Source organism: Homo sapiens, chromosome 17 (assembly GCF_000001405.40).
Source record: "Homo sapiens chromosome 17, GRCh38.p14 Primary Assembly".
Lineage (NCBI taxonomy): Eukaryota > Metazoa > Chordata > Mammalia > Primates > Hominidae > Homo > Homo sapiens.
In genome coordinates, this window is record NC_000017.11 from 60335213 (window position 1) to 60359994 (window position 24782).

Genomic DNA, 24782 nt, shown 5'->3' on the forward strand with positions numbered 1-24782 from the left:
ATCCTTGAGATTCCGAAAAGTGGTGGGATTACAGGTGTGAACCACCACACCCGGCCCTCCATTTGTATCCTTGCCTGAGTCCCTGCAAATATTAAGTATGTGTCTGTCTTTCTTCATCCAAACACCCACTTATTCCTACACATAAAATCTTTCTTCTATGCATAAAACAACTCCATTCCTAACAAAGACTTCCACAAAGTCCTATCCAGTTCCTACATTCAGGTCCAAGGTCTCTATGTGATTTTCAATTCTTTCCACTAACTCTAAAGGTGATTCATTGTGGTCTGGTGACCTATAAACTAAAACACAAGTTGTACCTCTTCTTTTACTTGTATTATGAATGGTGAAGTAGAAAAAAATATATCTACAATAGAAATTTCCATTCAGAAAAGGGAAAAGTGGAAAACATACGGTAGTCATGAAGGTAAACTGCCAGGGCAAGAGAGTACGTTCATTGGTCAGCCCAGTTACAAGTCCAGGTTTTGTTCCCTGAGACAAAAACCCTGTCTATAGCCCTCCCTGGCCCTTAGCCTTATTCCTTAGCAATTATTTTTCAAGAAGTGGGCAATGGGTCATGTGCTTTTGTTGAAGGTTACACAGATCTTGTTGTTGCATTGAATTTTGCAACATGTATAACCAAATTCTGATTAAGTTTTATCAGCTAAATTTTGGCAGAGTCTGTAACACTGCCAGTTATAAACTTAACCTTATTTTCCTTTATAATACCTATTAAGGATAGAAGTTTCTCATAAAGACTCACTTGGATAGGATCCCAACTGTTTTTATCGTCTACTACACTAGTCATGTCAGTAGCTCGGTTAATACACCAAGAATTTGAAATAAGTAATTATACATAAGGTATTTTCTGTAAGAGTGTTTTTTAGTATGAATTACTTCTTTAACATCTGGCATACCACTTAGAACATCCATAATCTATGTAATGTTCTTGATGTAAAGTTTTCTACAAGGAGTTCACTAGTCCCATTACGCTTAACTATATGTTAGATCTTCTATTGTGAACTCTGTTTTTCAATAGCTTATGAAGCTGTTTAAATTTGCTCTAGCTTAAAACTTGACAACTAAGGACCATCAAGATAATAATGCACATATTTTTTAAAGTTCATATATGTTTACCAGAAGAGAGTGATATACTCTGTTGTACTGTCATCTTACAGAAGCCTTGAAATCTTTTTTGTCCTGTCTTACAAAAAGAAATGAATTGGCCGGGCGCGGTGGCTCACGCCTGTAATCCCAGCACTTTGGGAGGCCGAGGCGGGCGGATCACGAGGTCAAGAGATCGAGACCATCCCGGCTAAAACGGTGAAACCCCGTCTCTACTAAAAATACAAAAAAATTAGCCGGGCGTAGTGGCGGGCGCCTGTAGTCCCAGCTACTTGGGAGGCTGAGGCAGGAGAATGGCGTGAACCCGGGAGGCGGAGCTTGCAGTGAGCCGAGATCCCGCCACTGCACTCCAGCCTGGGAGACAGAGCGAGACTCCATCTCAAAAAAAAAAAAAAAGAAAAAAAAGAAATGAATTAAGACAATGAAATTTAAGAACTAGTATGAATGTTACACTATGAACAAAAAGAGAGGCAATCAACATAATGTACTAGGGAATATTTCACAGATTCTAGTTACAGGGAAAGATTTCAAACCAGTATCCTGCTGGTTGTTCTGTCAGCTATGATGTCAAGATCAAGATATACCGTAACAAAAATGTTAGCTGCTTTTCTCTAGTTAATATAAACAAGTTAATCATTTTACTATTACAACAGTCAGTGACCAACAGTATCAAGAGTTATCAATGACTAGAGTTGTCAAGAAAGTTGTTAGCCCTTAATGCTGGTAAGTCCAACATAAAGGGATTTAATCAATAATATAGATCAACTATCATCAAAGAAACCAAATACAAATCACTATTCTGTGATACTCTCCCTAAACCTAGACTATCTGGTAAATATGCAGGCCCCCCAACTCAGAGGACATCTAAATGCAACAAGACTACTTCAGCATAAATTCACCAGCACTAATAGGAAAATATCCTACTAATCAGCTGTTTGTTTTCACATGTTGATCACTATGTCTAAAAACACTCCGGAATCTAATACGGCTTTTGATTAATATACACAGTTTCCTCTAATCTAGAAAAAGGTTAAGTGTTCAAAGCTTGCAAAGTTAGCAAAGCTAACTACCTTCAGGTCTCCTCGTCTCTTGGTTATTGTTTTGGTCATTCTTTTAATAGGATTTTGCAGAATAATAACAACTACTAAAAAGAAAGTATTAATAAATCAAATATTCGCTAAGTATATACAATATGCACAGCACTCTGGGGCATATGTTTTTTTTAAGTCATAAAGTCTGCCCATCAAGAATAACAATTTTGGCTGGGCATAGTAGCTCATGCCTGTAATCTCAGCTCTTTGGGAGGCTGATGAGGGAGGACTGCTTGAGCCTAAGAGTTTGTGACCAGCCTAGGCAATATGGTGAGACCCCGTCTCCACAAAAAATAAATAAACTGATTAACTGGGCATGGTGGCACATGCCTGTGTCCCACCTACTTGGGAGGCTGAGGTGGGAAAAATCGCTTGAGCCTGGGAGGTCGAGGCTACAATGAGCCATGATCGGGCCACTGCACTCCAGCCTGGGAGACAGAAATGAGACGGTCTCAAGATTTACATGAATAAGATTAGACAAGACGTACATGAACAATTAGTGAATGGGCCATTATCTAATAAAATGTTGTGCTATGTACTACAGATTCAGGCTTTAATGCTTGAAAGAGAGTTTAGGATAAGAGAAAAACAATGTTGGCTAAAATTGTTGGACGCAGGCAAGGCGTGGTGGCTCATGCCTTGTAATCCAGTCCCCTGGGAGGCTAGGACAGGCAGATAGCTTGAGCCCAAAAGATCAAGCCCAGCCTGGGCAACATGGCGAAACTGCATCTCTACAAAAAATACAAAAAATTAGCTGGGCATGGTGGTACATGCCTATAATCCCAGCTACTTGGGAGGCAGAGGCAGGAGAATCTCTTGAACCTGGGAACTGGAGGTCGCAGTGAGCCAAGATTGCGCCACTGCACTCCAGCCTGGGTGACAGAGCAAGACTCTATCTCAAAAAAAAAAAAAAAAATACTACATAGAAATGTTTTGTTATTAAATTTGTTTGAGAGGAGTAGATGTTCTGAGGAGGTGGCACCCTAAAGAAAATAAAAACACTAGACAATTCAGAGTTGGTGAGGCCAGGCATGGTAGCGCACATCTGTAATCCCAGCAATTTGGGAAGTCGAGGCAGGGTGATCACCTGAGCTCTGGAGTTCAAGACCACCTGGGCAACATGGTGAAACCCCATCCCTACAAAAAACACAAAAATTAGCTGGGCGTGGTGACACGCACCTGTATTCCCAGCTACTTGAGAGGCTGAGGTGAGAGGATTGCTTGACTTCAGGAGGTCGAGGATGCAGTGAGCCGAAATTGCACCACTGCACTCTAGCCTTGGTGGCAGAGTGAGACCCTGTCTCAAAAAAAACATAGTGGCCTTGGTTCAGAAAAAGACTAATCTCAAGTAGAATACATTTTTCATTTATTTTCCATTTACCTTGTTTTCTCAATCCCCTCAAATTCTGTTCATTATTTTATTCAAGTAATACATGGTTACGATTATAAGCAAGATTAGAAGTACATAAAAATATTTTCTTTGTTTCTTTCTTTCTTTTTTTGAGACGGAGTCTTGCTCTGTTGCCCAGGCTGGAGAGCAGTGACGTGATCTTGGCTGATTGCAACCTCTGTCTCCTGGGTTCAAGCAATTCTCCTACCTTGGCCTCCCAAGTAGCTGGGATTACAGGAGCCCGCCACCACGCCCAGCTAATTTTTGCATTTTTAGTACAGATGGGGGTTTCACCATGTTGGCCAGGCTGGTCACAAACTCCTGACCTCAGGTGATCTGCCCGTCTCAGCCTCCCAAAGTGCTGGGATTGCAGGCATGAGCCACCGCGCCCAGCCTAGAAGAACATAAAAATATTAAGTACACTAATCTATCCTCAAAACAGTATGTCTAATGAGATATGCACATAAGTGCTAAAAGGTATAAATGGCCGAGCATGGTGGCTTACACCTGTAATCCCAGCACTTTAGGAGGCTGAGACAGGTGGATTACCTGAGGTCAGGAGTTTGAAACCAGCCTGGCCAACATGGTAAAACCTCGTCTCTACTAAAAATACAAAAATTAGCCAGGCGTGGTGGTGGGCACCTGCAATCCCAGCTACTTGGGAGGCTGAGGCAGGAGAATTGCTTGAAACTGGGAGGCGGAGTTTGCAGTGAGCTGAGATCATGCTGTTGCACTCCACCCTGGGCAACAAGAGCAAAACTCCATCTCAAAAAAAAAAAAAAAAAAAGTATAAACTGCCATGAGTTCTTATTCCTCACCTAAAATATTCTCTGCATTGGAATGTATAACAGTAAGTCTTCGGAAGTAAAAATTGGAGCTCCATTAATCCTAGATAAATCTCTCTTTTGCTCTAAAAATATAAAGCTACTGTTTTCAGGAAAATAATTTAGAAATTTACATTGCTTCCTTATATAATATATTCTAAAGTGGTTATCCTTTTTAAGTGCATGAACCTTTTATAATAAAATCCCAAAAATATCGTTCCTTGCTCTTAAAAAATATATGTTATTACTTTTACTATTAAAACAAAACATTATTAGCTAGGGAATAAAGTTCTTTCCATCTACAACTGGCAGCTTGTGTAGTCCTGTAGCTTTCTTTATAGATATACTGATGTTAAAATACTGCTATGATATCTCAAAACATTAATTTCAGAATCTCACCAAGAATAATGATGCTCTGTTTACTCAGACTTAAAGGTCCAAGCTCTCCATAGGATTTTTTTTTCTCCATAGGATTTTGAAAAAGAACTCACAAGGGTCATATGCACTGACCCTTCCCTAGCTTTGCAACTAATTACCTTGTTTATAAATCCCATTATTTAACTTGACCTCCCTGCAGTTGTGGAATATAGATCATCCATTCCATGAGTCTATCCACCCACTAAAACTAAATTCAAGCTTCAAAATTACCAGCCCTGCCAAGCTCAGTGGCTCACACCTGTAATCCTGACACTTTGGGAGGCCAAGGTGGGAGAGGATCATTTGAGCTCAGGAGTTCAAAACCAGCCTGGGCAAGATGGCAAAACCACGATTCTACAAAAAATACAAAAATTCTTTGTCTCTTTTGATCGTTGTTGGTTTAAAGTCTGTTTTATCAGAGACTAGGATTACAACCCCTGCTTTTTTTGGCTTTCCATTTGCTTGGTAGATCTTTCTCCATCCCTTTATTTTGAGCCTATGTACGACTTTGCACGTGAGATGGGTCTCCTGAATACAGCACACTGATGGGTCTTGACTCTTTATCCAATTTGCCAATCTGTGCCTTTTAATTGGGGCATTTAGCCCATTTACATTTAAGGTTAATATTGTTACATGTGAATTTGATCCTGTCATTATGATGTTAGCTGGTTATTTTGCCCATTAATTGATGCAGTTTCTTCATAGCATCAATGATCTTGACAATTTGGCATGTTTTTGCAGTGGCTGGTACCGGTTGTTTCTTTCCATGTTTAGTGCTTCTGTCAGGAGCTCTTGTAAGGCAGGCCTGGTGGTGACAAAATCTCTCACCATTTGCTTGTCTGTAAAGGATTTTATTTCTCCTTCACTTATGAAGCTCAGTTTGGCTAGATATGAAATTCTGGGTTGAAAATTCTTTTCTTTAAGAATGTTGAATATTGGCCCCCACTCTCTTCTGGCTTGTAGGGCTTTTGCCTAGAGACCCACTGTTAGTCTGATGGGCTTCCCTTTGTGGGTAACTCGACCTTTCTCTCTGGCTGCCCTTAACATTTTTTCCTTCATTTCAACCTTAGTGAATCTGACAACTATGTGTCTTGGGGTTGCTCTTCTTGAGGAGTATCTTTGTGGTGTTCTCTGTTCCTGAATTTGAATGTTGGCCTGCCTTGCTAGGTTGGGGAAGTTCTCCTGGATAATATCCTAAAGAGTGTTTTCCAGCTTGGTTCCATTCTCCCCATCACTTTTTGCAGTGGCTGGTAGCAGTTGTTTCTTTCCATGTTTAATGCTTCCTTCAGGAGCTCTTGTAAGGCAGGCCTGGTGGTGACAAAATCTCTCAGCATTTGCTTGTCTGTAAAGGATTTTATTTCTCCTTCACTTATGAAGCTTAGTTTGGCTGGATATGAAATTCCGGGTTGAAAATTCTTTAGGAATGTTGAATATTGGCCCCCACTCTCTTCTGGCTTGTAGGGCTTTTGCCAAGAGAACACCAATCAAACGTAGATTTGGTCTTTTCACATAGTCTCATATTTCTTGGCGGCTTTGTTCATTTCTTTTTACTCTTTTTTCTCTAACCTTGTCTTCTTGCTTTATTTCATTGATTTGATATTCGATCACTGATACCCTTTCTTCCACTTGATTGAATCCGCTATTGAAACTTGTGCATGCATCACGAAGTTCTCGCGCCATGGTTTTCAGCTCCATCAGGTCATTTAGGGTCTTCTCTACACTGTTTATTCTAGTTAGCCATTCGTCTAACCTTTTTTCAAGGTTTTTTAGCTTCCTTGCGATGGGTTCGAACATACTCCTTTAGCTCGGAGAAGTTTGTTATTACCAACCTTCTGAAGCCTACTTCTGTCAACTCGTCAAGTGATTCTCCATCCTGCTTTGTTCTGTTGCTGGCGAGGAGCTGCGATCCTTTGGAGGAGATGAGGTACTCTGATTTTTAGAATTTTCAGCTTTTCTGCTCTGGTTTCTCCCCATCTTTGTGGTTTTTATCTATCTTTGGTCTTTGATGTTGGTGACCCCCAGATGGGATTTTGGTGTAGATGTCCTTTTTGTTGATGATGATGCTATTCCTTTCTGTTTGTTCATTTTCCTTCTAACACTCAGGTCTCTCAGCTGCAGGTCTGTTGGAATTTGCTGGAGGTCCACTCAAGACCTTGTTTGCCTGGGTATCACCAGTAGAGGCTGCAGAACAGCAAATATTGCAGAACAGCAAATATTGCTGCCCGATCCTTCCTCTGGAAGCTTCTTCCCAAAGGGGCACCTGCCTATATGAGGTGTCTGTAGGCCCCTACTCAGAAGTGTTTCCCAGTTAGGCTACACAGGGGTCAGGAACCCACTTGAGGAGACAGTCTGTCCGTTCTCAGAGCTCAAATGCCATGCCGGGAGAGCCACTGCTCTCTTCGGAGCTGTCAGACAGGGACGTTTAAGTCTGCAGAAGTTGTCTGCTGCATTTTGTTCAGCTATGCCCTGCCCACAGAAGTGGAGTCTAGAGGCAGTAGGCCTTGCTGAGCTGCAGTGGGCTCCTCCCAGTTCAAGCTTCCTGGCAGCTTTGTTTACCTACTCAAGCCTCAGCAATGGTGGATGCCCCTCCCTCAGCCAGGCTGCCACCTCACAGTTTGATCTCAGACTGCTGCGCTAACAGTGAGCAAGGCTCCGTGGGCATGGGACCCGCTGAGTCAGGCACGGGAGAGAATCTCCTCTGCTGGTTGCTAAGACCTTGGGGAAAGTGCAGTATTTGGGCAGGAGTGTCCCGTTTTTCTAGTTACAGTCTGACATGGATTCCCGTGGCTAGGAAAGGGAAATCCCCTAACCCCTTGCGCTTCCTGGGTGAGGCAACGCCCCACCCTGCTTCACCTCGCCCTCCGTGGGCTGCACCCATTGTCCAACCAGTCCCAATGAGATGAACCAGGTACCTCAGTTGGAAATGCAGAAATCATCCGTCTTCTGCATCGATCACGCTGGGAGCTGCAGACCAGAGCTGTTCCTATTCGGCCATCTTGGGCCATTACGTAATGGTAAAGGGATCAATTCAACAAGAAGAGCTATCTATCCTAAATATATATGCACCCAATACAGGAGCACCCAGATTCATAAAGCAGGTCCTTAGAGACCTACAAAGAGACTTGGACTCCCACACAATAATAATGGGAGACTTTAACACCCCACTGACAATATTAGACAGATCAACGAGACAGAAGGTTAACAAGGATATCCGGGACTTGAACTTAGCTCTACACCAAGCAGACCTAATAGAAATCTACAGAACTCTCCACCCCAAATCAACAGAACATACATTCTTCTCAGCACCACATCGCATTTATTCTAAAATTGACCACATAATTAGAAGTAAAGCACTCCTCAGAAATGTAAAAGAATAGAAATCACAACAAACTGTCTCTGAGACCACAGTGCAATCAAATTAGAACTCAGGATTAAGAAACTCACTCAAAACTGCAAAACTACATGGAAATTGAACAACCTGCTCCTGAATGACTACTGGGTAAATAACGAAATGAAGGCAGAAATAAAGATGTTCTTTGAAACCAATGAGAACAAAGACACAACATACCAGAATCTCTGGGACACATTTAAAGCAGTGTGTAGAGGGAAATTTATAGCACTAAATGCCCACAAGAGAAAGCAGGAAAGATCTAAAATCAACACTCTAACATCACAATTAAAAGAACTAGAGAAGGCCAGGCATGGTGGCTCACGCCTGCAATCCCAGCACTTTGGGAGGCCAAGGCGGGTAGGTCACCTGCGGTCAGGAGTTCAAGACCAGCCTGGCCAACATGGTGAAACCTCGTCTCTACTAAAAATACCAAAAAATTAGCTGGGCATGGTGGTGGGAGCCTGTAATCCCAGCTACTCAGGAGGCTGAGGCAGGAGAATCGCTTGAACCTGGGAGGCGAAACTTGCCATGAGCCAAGACCATGCCATTGCACTCCAGCCTGGGCAACAAGAGCAAACCTCTGTCTCAAAGAAAAAAAGAAAATAAAAAGAAATAGAAACTAGGGTTAATTAAAAATGGCAAAGAATGGTTCTATATAATATACCAAGCCTAAAATTCCTATTTTTTTTTTTTTTTTTTGAGTCAGAGTCTCATTCTGTTGCCCGGGCTGGAGTGCAGTGGCACAGTCTCAACTCACTGCAACCTCCGCCTCCTGGGTTCAAGCAATTCTCCTGCCTCAGCCTCCCGAGTAGCTGGGATTACAGGCACCCGCCACTAAGCCCAGCTAATTTTTTGTATTTTTAGTAGAAATGGTGTTTTACCATGTTGGCCAGGCTGGTCTCGAATTCCTGACCTCGTGATTCACCCGCCTCGGCCTCCCAAAGTGCGGGGATTACAGGTGTGAGACACCTTGCCCAGCCATAGTTTTTATTATCTTATAAAATTTATTCTTTTTTTCTTTTGAGACAGGGTCTCACTGTCACCCAGGCTGGAGTGCAGTGGTGCAATCATAGCTCACTCTAGCCTCAAACTCCTGGACTCAAGCAATCCTCCTACTTCAGCCTCCTGAGTACCTGGGACTTACAGGCACACACCATCATGTCTGCTAATTTTTTTGGTTGCTGTTTTTAAGTAGAGATGAGGTCTCACTATGCCCAGGCTGGCCTGGAACTCCTGAGCTCAAGTGATCCTCCTGCCTCGATCTCCCAAAGTGCTGAGATTATAGGCATAAGCCAACATACCCAGCCAATAAATTTTATTCTTATTTCTCATTTAGAATGACAAAATGTACATCTGTGTACATAACTACAAAATAGTAAACTTTTATTTTATTTTTTTTAGAGACAGTGTCTCACTATGTTGCCTAGACTGGACTCGAGTTCTTGGGCTTAAGCAAGCCTCCTATTTCAGCCTCCTGAGTAGCTGGGACTACAGGGACGCACAGTGGCGCCGGTTAAACATATTATTTTTAGAAACAGAATATATCAACTTAGCACATTTTATTTCTACCTAAACATTTTAGTAGAACTTAAATAAAAATTTAATTAAGTCCCAATAAGTTAGTATTTCATTTACAACATTTAATTTTATAGAATTAACTATGTTTTACTATACAGAAAATTTTCTTTAACATAAAATTTATAAAACATATTTGCAACATAAAAATTTTTATGTCACAGAGATTAACTTTCTAAGAATAAGAAGCCAATCATGGAAATGTTCCTATGATCATAATCAGTGGCTATTAAAGCTCTAAAGTACAAAAGAAACAGAATTACAGCTCTGTAGTACTCCCACTTGACCTCTAAGAACACAGCCACGTTGACATCTAAAACAAAACATTGTTTACCCACTCAGGAAGAAAAATAACTACAGGTAAGATTAAATCTGTTAAGAGCAGAAGGCCCCTCAGGAATTTAGGCTGGTGGAGGTGGATAACTACCTCAAAGGAAAACTTAGAACAAAAAGATTACCTCAGCAACCTTTGGAGGCACTCCATCCCCAAGCACTTCCCGGATGAAGCAGTGCTGGCCCATGTAATATGAGAGTCCACAGGTCCTCTTGAAAGCATCCTTCAGTCGTTTTAGCTCTACATCTGTAACTGCAATTCAGAAACAGAAGATGGGTAAGAAATCAGGAGAGAAAAGAGGTGTCTCATAATTTTTTTCAACCTGGCTCCTAAGAAAAATTGAGGCTAGGCACAGTGGCTCACGCCTATAATCCCAGTACTTTGGAAGGCCAAGGCAGGCGGATCACTTAAGGCCAGGAGTTCAAGATCAGCCTGGACAATGTGGCGAAACCCCATCTCTACAAAAAAAACAAAAATTAGCTGGGCATGGTGGTGCATGCCTATAATCCCAGCTACTTGGGAGGCTGAGACACGATAATCACTTGAACCTGGGAGATGGAGGTTGCACTGAGCCAAGACCATGCCGCCGCACTCCAGCATGGACAACAGAGCGAAACTCTGTCTCAAAAAAATAAATAAATAAAAAGAAAAAAAAAGAAAAATTGGCAAGCATTACACTTCTTTTTTGGTTAAATAAAACTCTATGACATTTAGTCATAATTCTAATATTTTCAAATCTAATTTAGAAAATAAGTATAATTTTTTTTTTTTAAGAGATGGGTCTCGCCATGTTGCCCAGGCTGGTCTTGAACTCCTGGGCTCAGGCAGTCCTCCCACCTTGGCCTCCAGAAATGCTGAGATTAAAAGCATGAGCCAGCACGCCAAGCCAAAATTCTTAACATTCAATTTTCAAAAGACAAAACTTTAATATAGGCATACAAATTTTAGGCAGGGGCAAAGAAGTAACAAATATTTCAAATTAGCAGGTAAGCTAAATGCCACTGGATTCTGGCATTAATGTTTTCAGCAGCAATACATTAATCTCCTTTGTGATAAAAATTATATTATTTGTACTCCTTGAGCACATCTCTATCCATATGGAGAACAGTCTTCAAGTTTAGCTTGGATTTTGTCATTATTTAAAAAGAAAATAGTTCATAAACAGATGATATTAACAAACTAAAATTTTTAGATACTTATTATCAAAAACAAAAAAATTACTGAGCCATTACTTTATTTTATGCATTGAAAACTTTTTTTCACTATATGGAACAATCTCTATCTACAAGAACAAAGAAATAAACACCCTTTACTATTACATGATCAGTACCACAATCACAATAGAGGCACAGAAATGGTACCTTTGACCCATGCTAGAGAAAACAGAGAATTCTTCCAGATGAAGATAATTACATTAAATTTTAAAGGCTAAACCAAGCAAAATGAACAAGGATATGCTGGTCAGAAATTACAGTTTGCTTCAAAGTACAATGAAGTATAAAAATGTATCATAAAAGTATCTTACTACAGCAAAGCACGGAGTAGCAAACGATAAACCTAGAGAGGCAGCAAGACCAAGTCACAGAGACTCTGTCCTGTCATAAGGAAGGGACACAGTCAGATACAACTCAGATAAAAACTGCAGGCAGACGAGAAAAAAACACAGTGAGATATAATTCAGATAGCTCACTCTACCAATAACAAAGAGAACAGAACAAATCTGGAAGCAATAGCCTGCTACTACAAGAAAAGGAGCTAAATTTGGGAAATATCCAGAGGGTCAGTAGAACTTGAAGCTAGACTGAGAGTAGAAGCAGTACTGGGAAGCTTTTTTTTTTCTTTTTTTGAGACAGAGTCTCACTCTGTCACCCAGGCTGGAGTGCAGTGGCATGATCTCAGGTCACTGCAACCTCTGTCTCCCAGGTTCAAGCAATTTGCCTGCCTCATCCTCCCAAGTACCTGGGAATACAGGTGCGCACCACCACACCTGGCTCATTTTTTTTTTTTTTTTTTATGAGACGGCATCTTGCTCTGTCGCCCAGGCAGGAGTGCAGTGGCACGATTTCTGCTCACTGCAAGCTCCGCCTCCCAGGTTCATGCCATTCTCCCGCCTCAGCCTCCCGAGTAGCTGGGACTACAGGCGCCCGCCACCACGCCCAGCTAATTTTTTGTATTTTTAGTAGAGACAGGGTTTCACTGTGTTAGCCAGGATGGTCTCGATCTCCTAACCTCGTGATCCACCCGCCTCAGCCTCCCAAAGTGCTGGGATTACAGGCGTGAGCCACCGCGCCCGGCCTACACCTGGCTAATTTTTGTATTTTTAGTTTCACCATGTTGGCCAGGCTGGTCTTGATCTCCTGACCTCAAGTGATCTGCCCACCTTGACTGGGATTACAGGCTTGAGCCACCGCACACAGCCAGTACCGAGAAACTTCAAGGATTATGTTATTATGTAGACAGAGAATGTAAGAATAAGTCAGGAAAGGCTGGGCGCAGTGGCTCACGCCTGTAATCCCAGCACTTTGGGAGGCTGAGGCGGGCGGATCACGAGGTCAGGAGATCCAGACCATCCTGGCTAGCACAATGAAACCCCGTCTCTACTAAAAATACAAAAAATTAGCCAGGCCTGGTGGCGGGCACCTGTAGTCCCAGCTACTTGGGAGGCTGAGGCAGGAGAATGGCGTGAACTCGGGAGGCGGAGCTCGCAGTGAGCCAAGATAGCGCCACTGCACTCCAGCCTGGGCAACAGAGCGAGACCCCGTCTCAAAAAAAAAAAAAGAGTAAGTCAGGAAAAAAGATGATAAACTTTTTTAAGGATACTGAATATGGGAAACCTTGGAAAATGCAATGGGGTTTTAGAATTTTAAATGTAAAGCTTAAGAGAGGTTGATAGGAGTCATCAGTATAGAGGTAGTAATTAAAACCATGAGGAAGAAGCATAATGAGACACACCAAAACTAGAAGAAGCCAGTGTTTCCAAGAGGAAGGAAACAGAGGGAAAAACTAAGAAAGAGAAAGAAAATTGATATGGAATAGTCAGGAGAAAAGAAGGAGAAGTAGAAGAGTATGCTCTCCAAAGGCCAGGAAAAGGGGACTTATCAAGTTAAGGCAGAAAGGACCAGCAAGATAAAGACTAGGCCAGGTGCAGTGGCTCATACCTATAATCCTAGCACTTTGGGAGGCCAAGGCAGGAGGATGGCTTGAGACCAGGAGTTAGAGACCACCCTAGGCAACATAGTGAGACCCTGTCTCTACAAAAACAGAAAAATTAGCCACACTTGGTGGCACGTGCCTATAGCTACTCAGGAGGCTGAGATGGGAGGATCACTTGAGCCCGGGAAGTCAAGGCTGCAGTGGGCCATGATCGTGCCACTGCACTCTAGCCTGGGTGACAGAGCGAGACTGTCTTAAAAAAAAAAAAGATAAAGACTAAAGAGTGCTTGGCACACAGTTAATCACTTTGATAAATGCTTGTGGTAGGAAGGGGGGGTTCATGGTTCAGCAACATAGAGTAATGATAAAACAATAAGAACCACTAGTTGAATAAGTAGCTAGAGAAAAGTATGACTATTAGGTACTTTATTTAAAATTGGATTTATAATATTAACATTTGCAATTGAAGGAGGTAACTTTGGCTGCGGAATATGTATTTCTTCAAGATGCCTAATTTTCATTAATGGCTTTAGTAACAAATTAGGTTGTTCACAGTCTAGTGGAGGAGACAAGAAAATTAAACATTCAAATAATATTAGAATAATATATGACTAAATATTAGAATAACATAGTATTAGAATATATTACAATATAATTAATCTAATATATTAATTATATATTAATCTAATAGACTACCTGTATAACAGTATAGGTAATCTCCTATAGTGTTGGTTACAGATTATTTGAAGAACTACTTGGTAATATGTTTTTTAAAAATATAATCTGGTGGCTGGGCACGATAGTTCACACCTGTAATGCCAGGACTTTGGGAGACTGAGGCAGGTGGATCCCTTGAGGCCAGGAGTTCGAGACCAGCCTGGCCAACATGGTGAAATCCCATCTCTACTAAAAATACAAAAATTAGCCAGCCGTGGCGGTGGGTGCCTGTAATCCCAGTTACTCAGGTGGCTGAGGCAGGAGGATTGAGGAGGCAAAGGTTGCAGTGAGCTGAGATAGCCCCACTACATTCCAGCCTGGACAATGACAGAGTGAGACTCTGTCTCAAAAGAAAAAAAAAAAAAAAAAAATATATATATATATATATATATATATATTATATATATATATATATATTATATATATACATATATATACACATATATATATACACACATATATATATATAGCAATCTGATGACTAATGAATTTATTCACTTAAACTGTAGGGAAATGTACATATAAATAAGCTTTTAAAGCATTTATAAGAAGCAAACAATGTCCATCAACAAAGGACAGATTGAATAAATTATTGTATACATTTAGAATATCATACAGACACTGAAATGTTCCTACAGATCCATATTTACTGAAAATAAATACATAAAAATGTTCACCATACAGTGAAATGTTGAAAATTTTGAAAATAAAAATTTAAGCAAGACAGAAAATATAATAGAATCAAGCCTAAGTTCTGCTCTGTGGTTTTTTCGTTGTTGTTGGTTTTTGTTTTTTTTTTTATTTTGAGACGGGATCTCACTCTGTCACCCAGGCTGGAATGCAGTGGCATGATCTCAGCCACTGCAACCTCTGCCTCCCAGGCTCAAGCAATCCTCCCACCTCAGCCTCCCAAGTAGGTGGGACCACAGGCTCCCACTGCCACACGTGGATAATTTTTTGAATTTTTAAATAGCGATGGGGTTTTGCCATGTTGCCCAGACTGGTCTCAAACTCCTGAGCTCAAGCAATCCACTCGCCTTGGCCTCTCAAAGTACTGGGATTACAGATGTGGTAATTTTTGAGACTGAGTCTCGCTCTGTAGCCCAGGCTGGAGTGCAGTGGCATGATCTTGGCTCACTGCAACCTCCACCTCCCAGGTTCAAGTGATTCTCCTGCCTCAGCCTCCCCAGTAGCTGGGATTACAGGCACCTACCATAACACCTGGGTAAGTTTTATATTTTTAGTAGAGATGAGGTTTCACCACGTTGGCCAGGCTGGTCTCAAACTCCTGACCTCAAGTGATCTGCCAGCCTAGGCCTCCCAAATTGCTGGGATTACAAGCATGGGCCACCGTGCCCGGCCCAGGTGTGGTAAATTTTTTAAATAAGAAAATGATATTAGTTATCTTCGTATTAGAAAGAAAAAGTAGCTTCAGAAAAGGACAAAGGGACTTTTCTTAAATCTTCTCTCTCTCCCTCTATCCCTCTCTCAGTAAAATTACAGTGAGAATAAAAGAAGATATAAACTCACAAGGACAGAGGGATAAAAAACTACATAATAGGTATAATGTACCCTACTCGGGTGATGGGTGCATTAAAAATCTCAGATTTCACCACTGCACACTTCATCCACGTAACGAAAAACCACCTGTACCCCAAAAGCTATTGAATTTTTTTTTTTAACTCACAAAGACAAAAATAGGACAAGAGAGACACGAGAACCTAAGAGACAGTCAAATTTTTCTGGTGCACATTAAGTATCTGGAGTGGTCACTGACCTAAGCCAACCCAAGAAAGTTAAAACCTAGCAGCTGAGAAATTCAAACAAGAAGCAAACGAATTTACCCTGTCCATAGCCCCAAAAGGCTCAGAAATGGATGGTACCAATTACCACAAAAGTCAGGGGGGTAAAAGGTGAGGCTGAGAAAAAAAAATAGAGATTGGTTCAAAGTCTATGAGGAGTAGTTAGACTCTCTGGACCCTTGCAGCACAAGGCAATCAGGCACCAATCTACCACCTACCCAAACCCCCATCACTTTCACACCAACCTTTTAGCAACTCCCGGGCTCAAGTGATCCTCCCACCTCAGCTGCCCAAGTAGCTGGGACTACAGGCATGCACCACTATGTCAGGCCCTTCCTAGCTATTTTTAATTTGTACCTTTAGCTGATTTTTTTCAACAAGCATTTATGAAATGTCTACTATGCCAGGCTTCTTTTTTTTTTTCGAGATGGAGTCTCACTCCGTCCCCCAGGCTGGAATGCATGATCTCAGCTCACTGCAACCTCTGTCTCCCGGGTTCAAGCAATTCTCCTGCCCAGCCTCCCAAGTAGCTGGGAGTACAGGCACGCACCACCGTGCCTGGCTAATTCTTGTATTTTTAGTAGAGGCGGGGTTTCGCCATGCTGGCCAGGCTGGTCTTGAACTCCTGACCTCAGGTGATCCACCTCCCTCGGCCTCGCAAAGTGCTGGGATTACAGGCGTGAGCCACCAAGCCCAGCTGTCAGGCATTTATTAAATGTCTACTTATCTCAGTCAAGATGAGTAATACATAGTCTCCATATTCTAATACTTCAAAATTTAGTAGAAAAGACAGGACACAACAAAAATAACTATAATACCAAATATGAAATATTAAACTGGAGGTATTCAATGGAGTTCCAAAATAGGGAATAATTAGGAAGTGGTAATTCCTAAAGAGTAGGGGTTCACCTGGCAAAAAAAAACGCAAAGGGCTATTCTATGCAGGGAAAACACATATAAAAGAATAAAGTGGCATGGATAATCAAAGAATTGCAAGTAGTATGATATAAATGGAGTACAGGGTATAAGAAGCAGAGTTGTCAGAAATGAGGTTAGAATGATAATGGGCAGACAAAACAGAACCCTGACTTTATTCAAGATGATAATGTCCTTAGCTAAATGACTATATTTTTCAGTTTCCCTTGCAACTAGAAATGGCCAATGAAATGCAGTAGAAATGACTGGGGGGACCTCCATGAAGGCTTCTTAAAAGGTAACAGCTGGCAAATATCCTTTTGCCCTTATCTCTTCTTCCCACCTGGCACTTAGATATACAATGGCTGCATCTCCAGCAGCCATTTTACACACCTATTTTTGAGTGAACGTCAAAGTTATAAGCCATACAGTAAGGATGGCGAGGTCAAAAAGATTTTTAAAAGCCTAGATGACCATGGAACTGCCATATGACCCTTGGATATCCTACCTCCAGATTTACGTGTGAGAAAAATAAACCCTTATATCTTATTTAAACTATTATTTTGTTTAATATACATCCAAACTTAAACCTAACTGATAAAGGTATCAGGTACAAGTTTATGGAAGGCCATTCTAAGCCATGTTAAAAATCCTTTCCTGGCTTTAAACAAAGAAGTAACAATCAGGTTTACATGCACATTGGTGTCGATGCAATAAACAAGACTGGGAAAAGGTCAGAATGGAGGTATAAAGACCAGTTGAGCGGTTACTGCATTTGTTCAGACAAGAGATGAACTCAACAAAAGAACTCGAAGGCACAGCCTCAAGCGATCCTGCCACCTCTGTCTCCAAAGTGCTGGGATTACAGGCCTAAGGCATAAAGTAAAAAGGGAGGTAAGAAGGCAGATTCAAGAGATAAACTCAACTGAACAGGGTTCACTGAATAATTAGCTGTCAAAGGACTAGAAAGAAAAAAATGATCTTTGATGATTTCAAAGTGTCTGCCTGTTTCTAAGATATACTCAGTGCTACTGATGAAGATTAGTCTAGGGGAGAATTTGAATATATTACATTGTATTTACATTTCTGTTATGAAATGAATGTATGTGTCCTCCCCTCAAATTCATATGTTGAAGCCCTAACACACAGTGTGGCTGGTTTTGGAGTAAGGAAGCAATTATTGTTAAATAAGCTTATAAGGATAGGACGCTGAACTTACAGGATTAGTGTTCATAGAAGAAGAGACACCAAAGGGCTCAAGCGCAACATAGGCACAGAGGAAAGAGCATGTATGGATGCAACGAGCAGGAAAGGCTCTCTTCTGCAGGCCAGGAAGAGAGCCCTCACCAAAAACAAAACCTTGCTGGAACCCAACGTTATTTCCAATGGGAAATAACATTTCTGTCGTTTAATCATCCAGTCTTTGGTATTTTGTGATGGTAGCCCAAGCTGACTACTATCATTTCTATAGTACCAATGGTAAATAGACCAACTCCTCCATTTTAATTTAGATAGAGGCCAGTGCGGTGGCTCACACCTGTAATCCCAGCACTTTGGGAGGCCGAAGCAGGTGGATCACTTAAGGCCAGGAGTTCGAGACCAGCTTGGCCAACACGGAGAAACACCATCTCTACTAAAAATACAAAAATTAGCCAGGGATGGTGGTGCACACCTGTAATCCCAGCCACTCAGGAGGCTGAGGCAGGAGAATCGTTCGAACCTGGGAGGCAGAGGTTGTGGTGAGCAGAGATTGCACCACTGCACCCCAGCCTGGGAGACAGAGTGAGACTCTGTCTAAAAACAAATAAAAAATAATTTAGATAATCTATGTAAATCGCTTTTACAAAGTCATATGAAGAGATCAGAACTCACTGTCCATGAAAGGAAAATAAAATTATGTAATTAACAATTGCACAAAACAAACATAAGAGAGCAGCACAACGCTCATTGTCATGCTCTAAACTTTTAGAGGTTACCGTGTCTACACCAGTAGTTATTAACCTTTTCTGCAGTGACACAGAATGGATGTTGTCATTACCATGAGCATTCCGTAAATTCTAGCTGCAACTATACTCTTTACTTCCAGTCAAGAAATCACATGCATGTGTGAAATGCATGAAATTAAATCCATTTTTGTAAAGGTAAGCTTTTTTCTTGAAGTTCAATACTTTATTATTACTCATTACATGGTATAAAATATTTCACAATAAACCACAATACTGGTGTTCTATTCCCCTATTATATACTGCTTTATATTATAACTTTTTTTCAAAGGTAATATTTGTCTTATCTCTCCAAGTATATTTTAAGTCTCTTGAGAGCAAAGACCAAGTCTATTCTTCATCTCTATTTCTTTAAGACAGCCAAGGCAGGACCATGCATTCTGATTTCTGTTATAGGATAGGAGTTTCCGTTTTAACAGTTTGGTTCCAAAGGCAAAGAGGAAAATTTAACAACATCTGAATCAGAGGATAACCACAGAGATAAATAAACATTGGGAAATATGCCTTTCACTGCCAAAGTGGGCTAAGAATTTACAAACCTAGGACAAGAAGAAATTGTATAATGCAGCAAAGAAAACACAACCAACATATTTGTAAATCTGCTTGGTGCAGCTGATCTGAAGTAAATTAACCTATCAAAAGTCACTTTGGTAGGGTCCCTGCTAAAAAAAGCTACTGCAGAGCCACTTCAGGTAGATGATAAAACCCAGATGGGACATCTCAGGCAAGAGGGGGCCTACAACTAGCAATTTTTTTTGCTACTGGTGACTTTGTGCCAAATGTCCATGAACAAATGAATCCAAAAAAGTATGATATAAGGCCAGGTGTGTGGCTCACGCCTGTAATCCCAGCACTTTGGGAGGCTGAGGCAGGCAGATCGCTTAAGGTCAGGAGTTCGAAACCAACCTGGCCAACAGAGTTTGCTCCCTCTCTACTAAAAATACAAAAGTTAGCTGGGCATAGTGGCGGTGCCTGTAGTCCCAGCTACTCAGGAGACTGAGGCAGGAGAATCACTTGAACCCAGGAGGTGGAAGTTGCAGTGAGCCGAGATAGCGCCACCGCACCCCAGCCTGGGCAACATAATGAGGCTCTGCCTCAAAAACAAAAACATAAAACTATGATACATTCTTATTATAGAATACTTTTCAGCATAAAAAGGAGAAAACGAAAGTGCTGATATATGCAACAACATGGATGATGCTCACAGATATTATACTAAGTAAAAGAAGGCTGATTAAAAAAAAGAGCAGATACTCTGTGATTCCCCAAGTTCTAGAACAGGAACAACTCATCAATGATGACAGGTCAGAACAGTTATTGCCTCTGAGGATGTGGTAAATTTACTGGTAAGAGGAACAAGTCAACTTTCATAGGTGATAGAAATGTTCTGTATCTTGTCAAAATGCAAGGACACATGACTTTTGTATTTTAGGATATAAAAATTTTCCCTCCAAAAAAACCTGTAAGGAGACCGATTGCCGGAATGGTAAAGACCTCTGAAAATCCATTCTTCTAAAAAAGCAGCAAGAACACTATCAAAAACTGTCAAAATCCAACTTTTTCAGAACTCTAGAAATCAACCAAATGCTTGCAATAATCCAAAGAGCTTTATTCCAGAAAAATGACTGAGCTGAGTGCGGTGGCAATCCCAGCACTTTGGGTGACTGAAGCAGATGAATTGTTTGAGCCTAAGAGTTTAAGACCAGCCTGGGCAACATGGCAAACACTGTCTCTACAAAAACTACAAAAATTGGTGGCACACGCCTGTAGTCTCAACTACTCAGGAGACTAAGGTGGGAGGATCACTAGCGCCTGGGAGGTCAAGGCTGCAGTCAGCCATGATCATGCCACTGCACTCCAGGCTGAGTGACAGCTCACTCTCTCAAAAAAAAAAAAAAAAGAGAGAGAAAGAAAAAAAAAAAAGAATGGCTGAACCTCTGTAAAAAAAAAAAAAAAAAAAAAAAAGCAGTATTTGTGGTGTTTTAACATGTTCTATTCCCATCACCTTCTCCCCAGCTATGCAATAGCTTTGAAAACCAAAAATCTCCCTAAGCTGTAAAAACCAACAGTCAAACAGCCACTGAAGGAGGCAGAATGGGTTTAGAGCTTCTCAAAAGAAGTGTCAATATTTGACCTATCTGGTAGCTCATTAAAAAGTTCCATTCTCAAGCTTTGTCTTTATTTGATCTGGCTTTGAGTTCACTCTACAAATAAAACTTTTTCCCCTGGCATTCTTCAAAAACAATCAGTGGCAACTATATAACTTCACAGCTGCCTGAGAAAGCAGTGGCAGATGGGGCTAACAAGAGGTTAACCAAAAAACATGAAAGGAAAACCTGGAAAACAGCAAGCCCACAAGGGCTTTGAAAGGCTCTGACATATTCCTGGAAATCCAAAAGGCCACCTGCATATGGAGAGCTGTGCATGTGCCCCAAAATTCCCATATCTCTCACTTTGGCTGACCTTAAACCTCCACACAAGCAGGAAGTGAAGGCTAAAGCAGAGTTGCAAACTGACTGTACAACATTTGAACACACACCCGAGTAGTATAGAACCCCTCCGCCAAGGCTGAACTTATAGGTTCAAGGCATTTTTAAAAGTCTCTGTCCAATCTTAGCTGACCACTAAGCTAAATAAGCACACACAAAAAAGAATACACACTTTATAAAATCAGACCAAGAAAGTCACTAAGCAAATAAATAATAGCAGGAACAACAACAAATAGCAGTAACAAACCTTAAGGTAGGGAATCCAATTTCCAGAGCTGCCACACTACAGTACTTAAAATGTCTCATTTTCAACAAAAAATTGCAAAGCATTTAAGTAAGAAAATGAAGCCCATACACAGGAAAAAGGGCATTAAATAGAAACTGTCTGTAGGCAAGTCCAGACATTTGATTTACTAGGTAAACACTTTAATGAACTATTTATAAACAAGTTCAAAGAAGAAAAAAAAACATGCCTAATGACTTCAAGTATGAGAACACTGTCTCACCAAATGGAGAATATCAATAGTGAGATGAGATGGATATTATAAAAAGAAACCAATTAGCAATTCTGGAGTTGAGAAGTATGAGGTTGCAGTGAACTATGATTGCATCACTGCACTCCAGCTGGGACAACAGAGTAAGACCTTATCTCAAAAAAACAAAACAATTGCAAAATTTGAAGACAGTCAATTTTGATTATCCAGTCTGAGGAACAGAAAGAACAACAAATGAAGAGGCCAGGCACTGGCTCACACCTCTAATCCCAGAACTCTGAGTGGTCCAGGTGGGAGGACAGCTTGAGACCAGGAGTTCAAGACCAGCCTGGGCAACAGAGGGAGACCCCATCTCTACAAAAAATAAATAATAATTAGGCAGGCATGGTGATACACGCCTATGGTTCCAGCTACACGGGAAGCCAAGGCAGGAGGACTGCTTGAGCCCAGGAGTTGGAGGCTGCAGTGAGCTATGATTGAACCCCTGCACTCCAGCCTGGGCAACAGAGCAAGACCCTGTCTCTTAAAAATAAAAATAAATATATATATGATATGTAGACCAAGCAAGCAACAGAGCAAGACCCTGTCTCTTAAAAAATAAAAATAAAAATATATATATGTAGATATATCAGTACATTCATAGTCATACATCTCTTGCTGACAACTCCCAATTCCTTATACAAAAGGACAAAAATGTCCTAAGGGTACCTTTATCTTTCCAAGTGATTAATAGTAGTTAATATCATTAAACATTCTCAGGCTGAAGCTGAATTAATCTCTGGAAAGGACTGGATGACTCAGCAGTGAAGAGTATTCATATTCTCAAGCATTGGCATTTAGATACTTTTTTTTTTTTGAGACGGAGTTTCACTCTTGTTGCCCAGGCTGGAGTGCAATGGCGCAATCTCAACTCACTGCAACTTCCACCTCCCAGGTTCAAGCAGTTCTCCTGCCTCAGCATCCCAAGTAACTGGGATTACAGGCATGTGCCACCACACCCAGCTAATTTTGTATTTTTAGTAGAGATGGGGTTTTCACCATGTTGGTCAGGCTGGTCTCGAACTCCTGACCTCAGGTGATCCACCCGCCTCCACCTCCTAAAGTGCTGAGATTACAGGTGTGAGCCACCACACCCAGCCCTAGATACATTTTTAAATGACTTTTTCCATTTAATTGTCTGCTTCATCTAGCATTCCCATAGTATTGTTTCTACTACTTTTTTATTGCAAATATAGAGTATTTCAGCTATACTATGACTTAATTTTCTGTAAGCCACCACCCTATGAACCTAATCATCACTTATAACATTGTTTCTACGGAAAAATAAGTTTTAAATTCCAGATGAACTTTTGAACACAATCCAGGCTGGGCATGGTACCTCACACCTGTAATCCCAGCACTTTGGGAGGCTGAGGCAGGTGGATCACTTGAGGTCAGGAGTTCGAGGCCAGCCTGGCCAACATGGTAAAACCCCATCTCTACCAAAAATACAAAAATTAGCCAGGTGTGGTGGCGGGTACCTGTAGTCCCAGCTACCTGCTAGGCTGAGGTGGGAGAATCATTGAACCCAGTAGGTAGAGGCTGCAGTGAGCCGAGATCATGCCACTGCACTACAGCCTGGGTAACAGAGGGAGACTCTGTCTCAAAAAAACATAATAAAAATAAAAATAAAGGTAATAGTCCTCTGTGCTTCAAGAATATAAAAGACCACTAGGAAAACAGAAGGTCAAGTAAGTTTTTAACATCTAAAAATGAGATTAAAAAATGAACATTATTCTTACAGAAGGAGTTTATCATAGATCTAATTTTGAGAAACTAGATGAGACCAGGATATTGAGGATGACGGTGCTTCGCAAGGTTTTGATATTACATCATGGGGCACCACTGACAACTAAGAAAATATAGCTTAGTCTATGATTACAGGGCCAACAGGGATGTCACTTGCCAAGATTGAGAATCTCTGGCTTAGGCCAAAAAGATTTAAAATGTTATAACACACAATAAATTGATAAAAATTTAAAATGCAAACCTTAGAACCAGAAGGTAGAGACACACGAGAGGTTCCAGCTGCTGCAAACTACTTCTCATTCCCTAACCACATTATGTTCACTGCTACTGTCCTTGCAGTGTCCTCTGCCTATGAGCTCCAATCATACTCTGAACAATCCAACATCCTTCAAGGCTTGGCTTAATGTCCCTCCTTTATTTTTTGGAAGCCTATTCTAATTGCTTCCATGCCCCACCACCTAAAATGTTAGGTGTCCCTCCTACAAAATAACTTTCCTTATAATCACTTATTCAATATCAAATTCTCAATGCTTTAACTTTAAAATAACACAGCTTATATTGTATGTTTATTGAATTGTATATCTCCCCTCTGCTCTTTAAGAACAAAGAAACTGCCTTATTTATATGTATCCCCAACACCCAGCAAAGAACCTTAAATATTATTGATATTTTTGGATAAAGACAGAATTTTTTAAATGATCAAATAAATGTGCTATCTATTCTCTTGTCCAAGGCCTATGCTTATTACTAAACCTCAGCATCTAGAACAACTTCTGACACACAGTAAGAACTCAGAAAAAATGTTTTTTCAAGCAGGACACAGTGGCTCAAACCTGTAATTCCAGAACTTTGGGAGGCTGAGATGAGAGGATCACTTGAGCCCAGGAGTTTGAGACCAGCTTGAGCCACACAGGGAGACCCTGTCTCTACAAAAAGCAAAAATATTAGCATGGTGGTGTGCACCTGTACCAGCTACTCAGGAGCTGGGAGCTACTCAGGTGGGAGGATCACTTAAGCCCAGGATTGGAGACTGCAGTGACCTATGATTGAACCACTATACTCCAGCATTCCATAAAGAATGAGACCTTGTCTCTGAAAATAATAGATAAATAAAGAGTTCATAGAAACATGACAATGTTTGTAAGACAAAGATTTTTTTTTTTTTTTTGAGATGGAGTCTTGCTTTGTTGCCCAGGCTGGAGTACAGTGGCGCAGTCTCGGCTCACAGCAAGCTCCACCTCCCAGGTTCACACCATTCTCCTGCCTCAGCCCCCCGA

At 41.1% G+C, this 24782-nt stretch overlaps 1 protein-coding gene across 8 annotated transcripts in view; it reads right to left on the minus strand.

Moving 5' to 3' along the window:
• Window positions 1-24782, minus strand: part of USP32 (ubiquitin specific peptidase 32) — a 245090-nt gene that overhangs the window by 157886 nt on the left and 62422 nt on the right. For all 8 annotated transcript variants that reach the window (XM_011525372.2, XM_011525371.2, XM_011525376.2 and 5 more), the window contains exon 2: window positions 10269-10396. In XM_011525372.2, the coding sequence (XP_011523674.1) occupies window positions 10269-10396 (128 nt within the window). The remainder of the gene's footprint in view (window positions 1-10268; window positions 10397-24782) is intronic.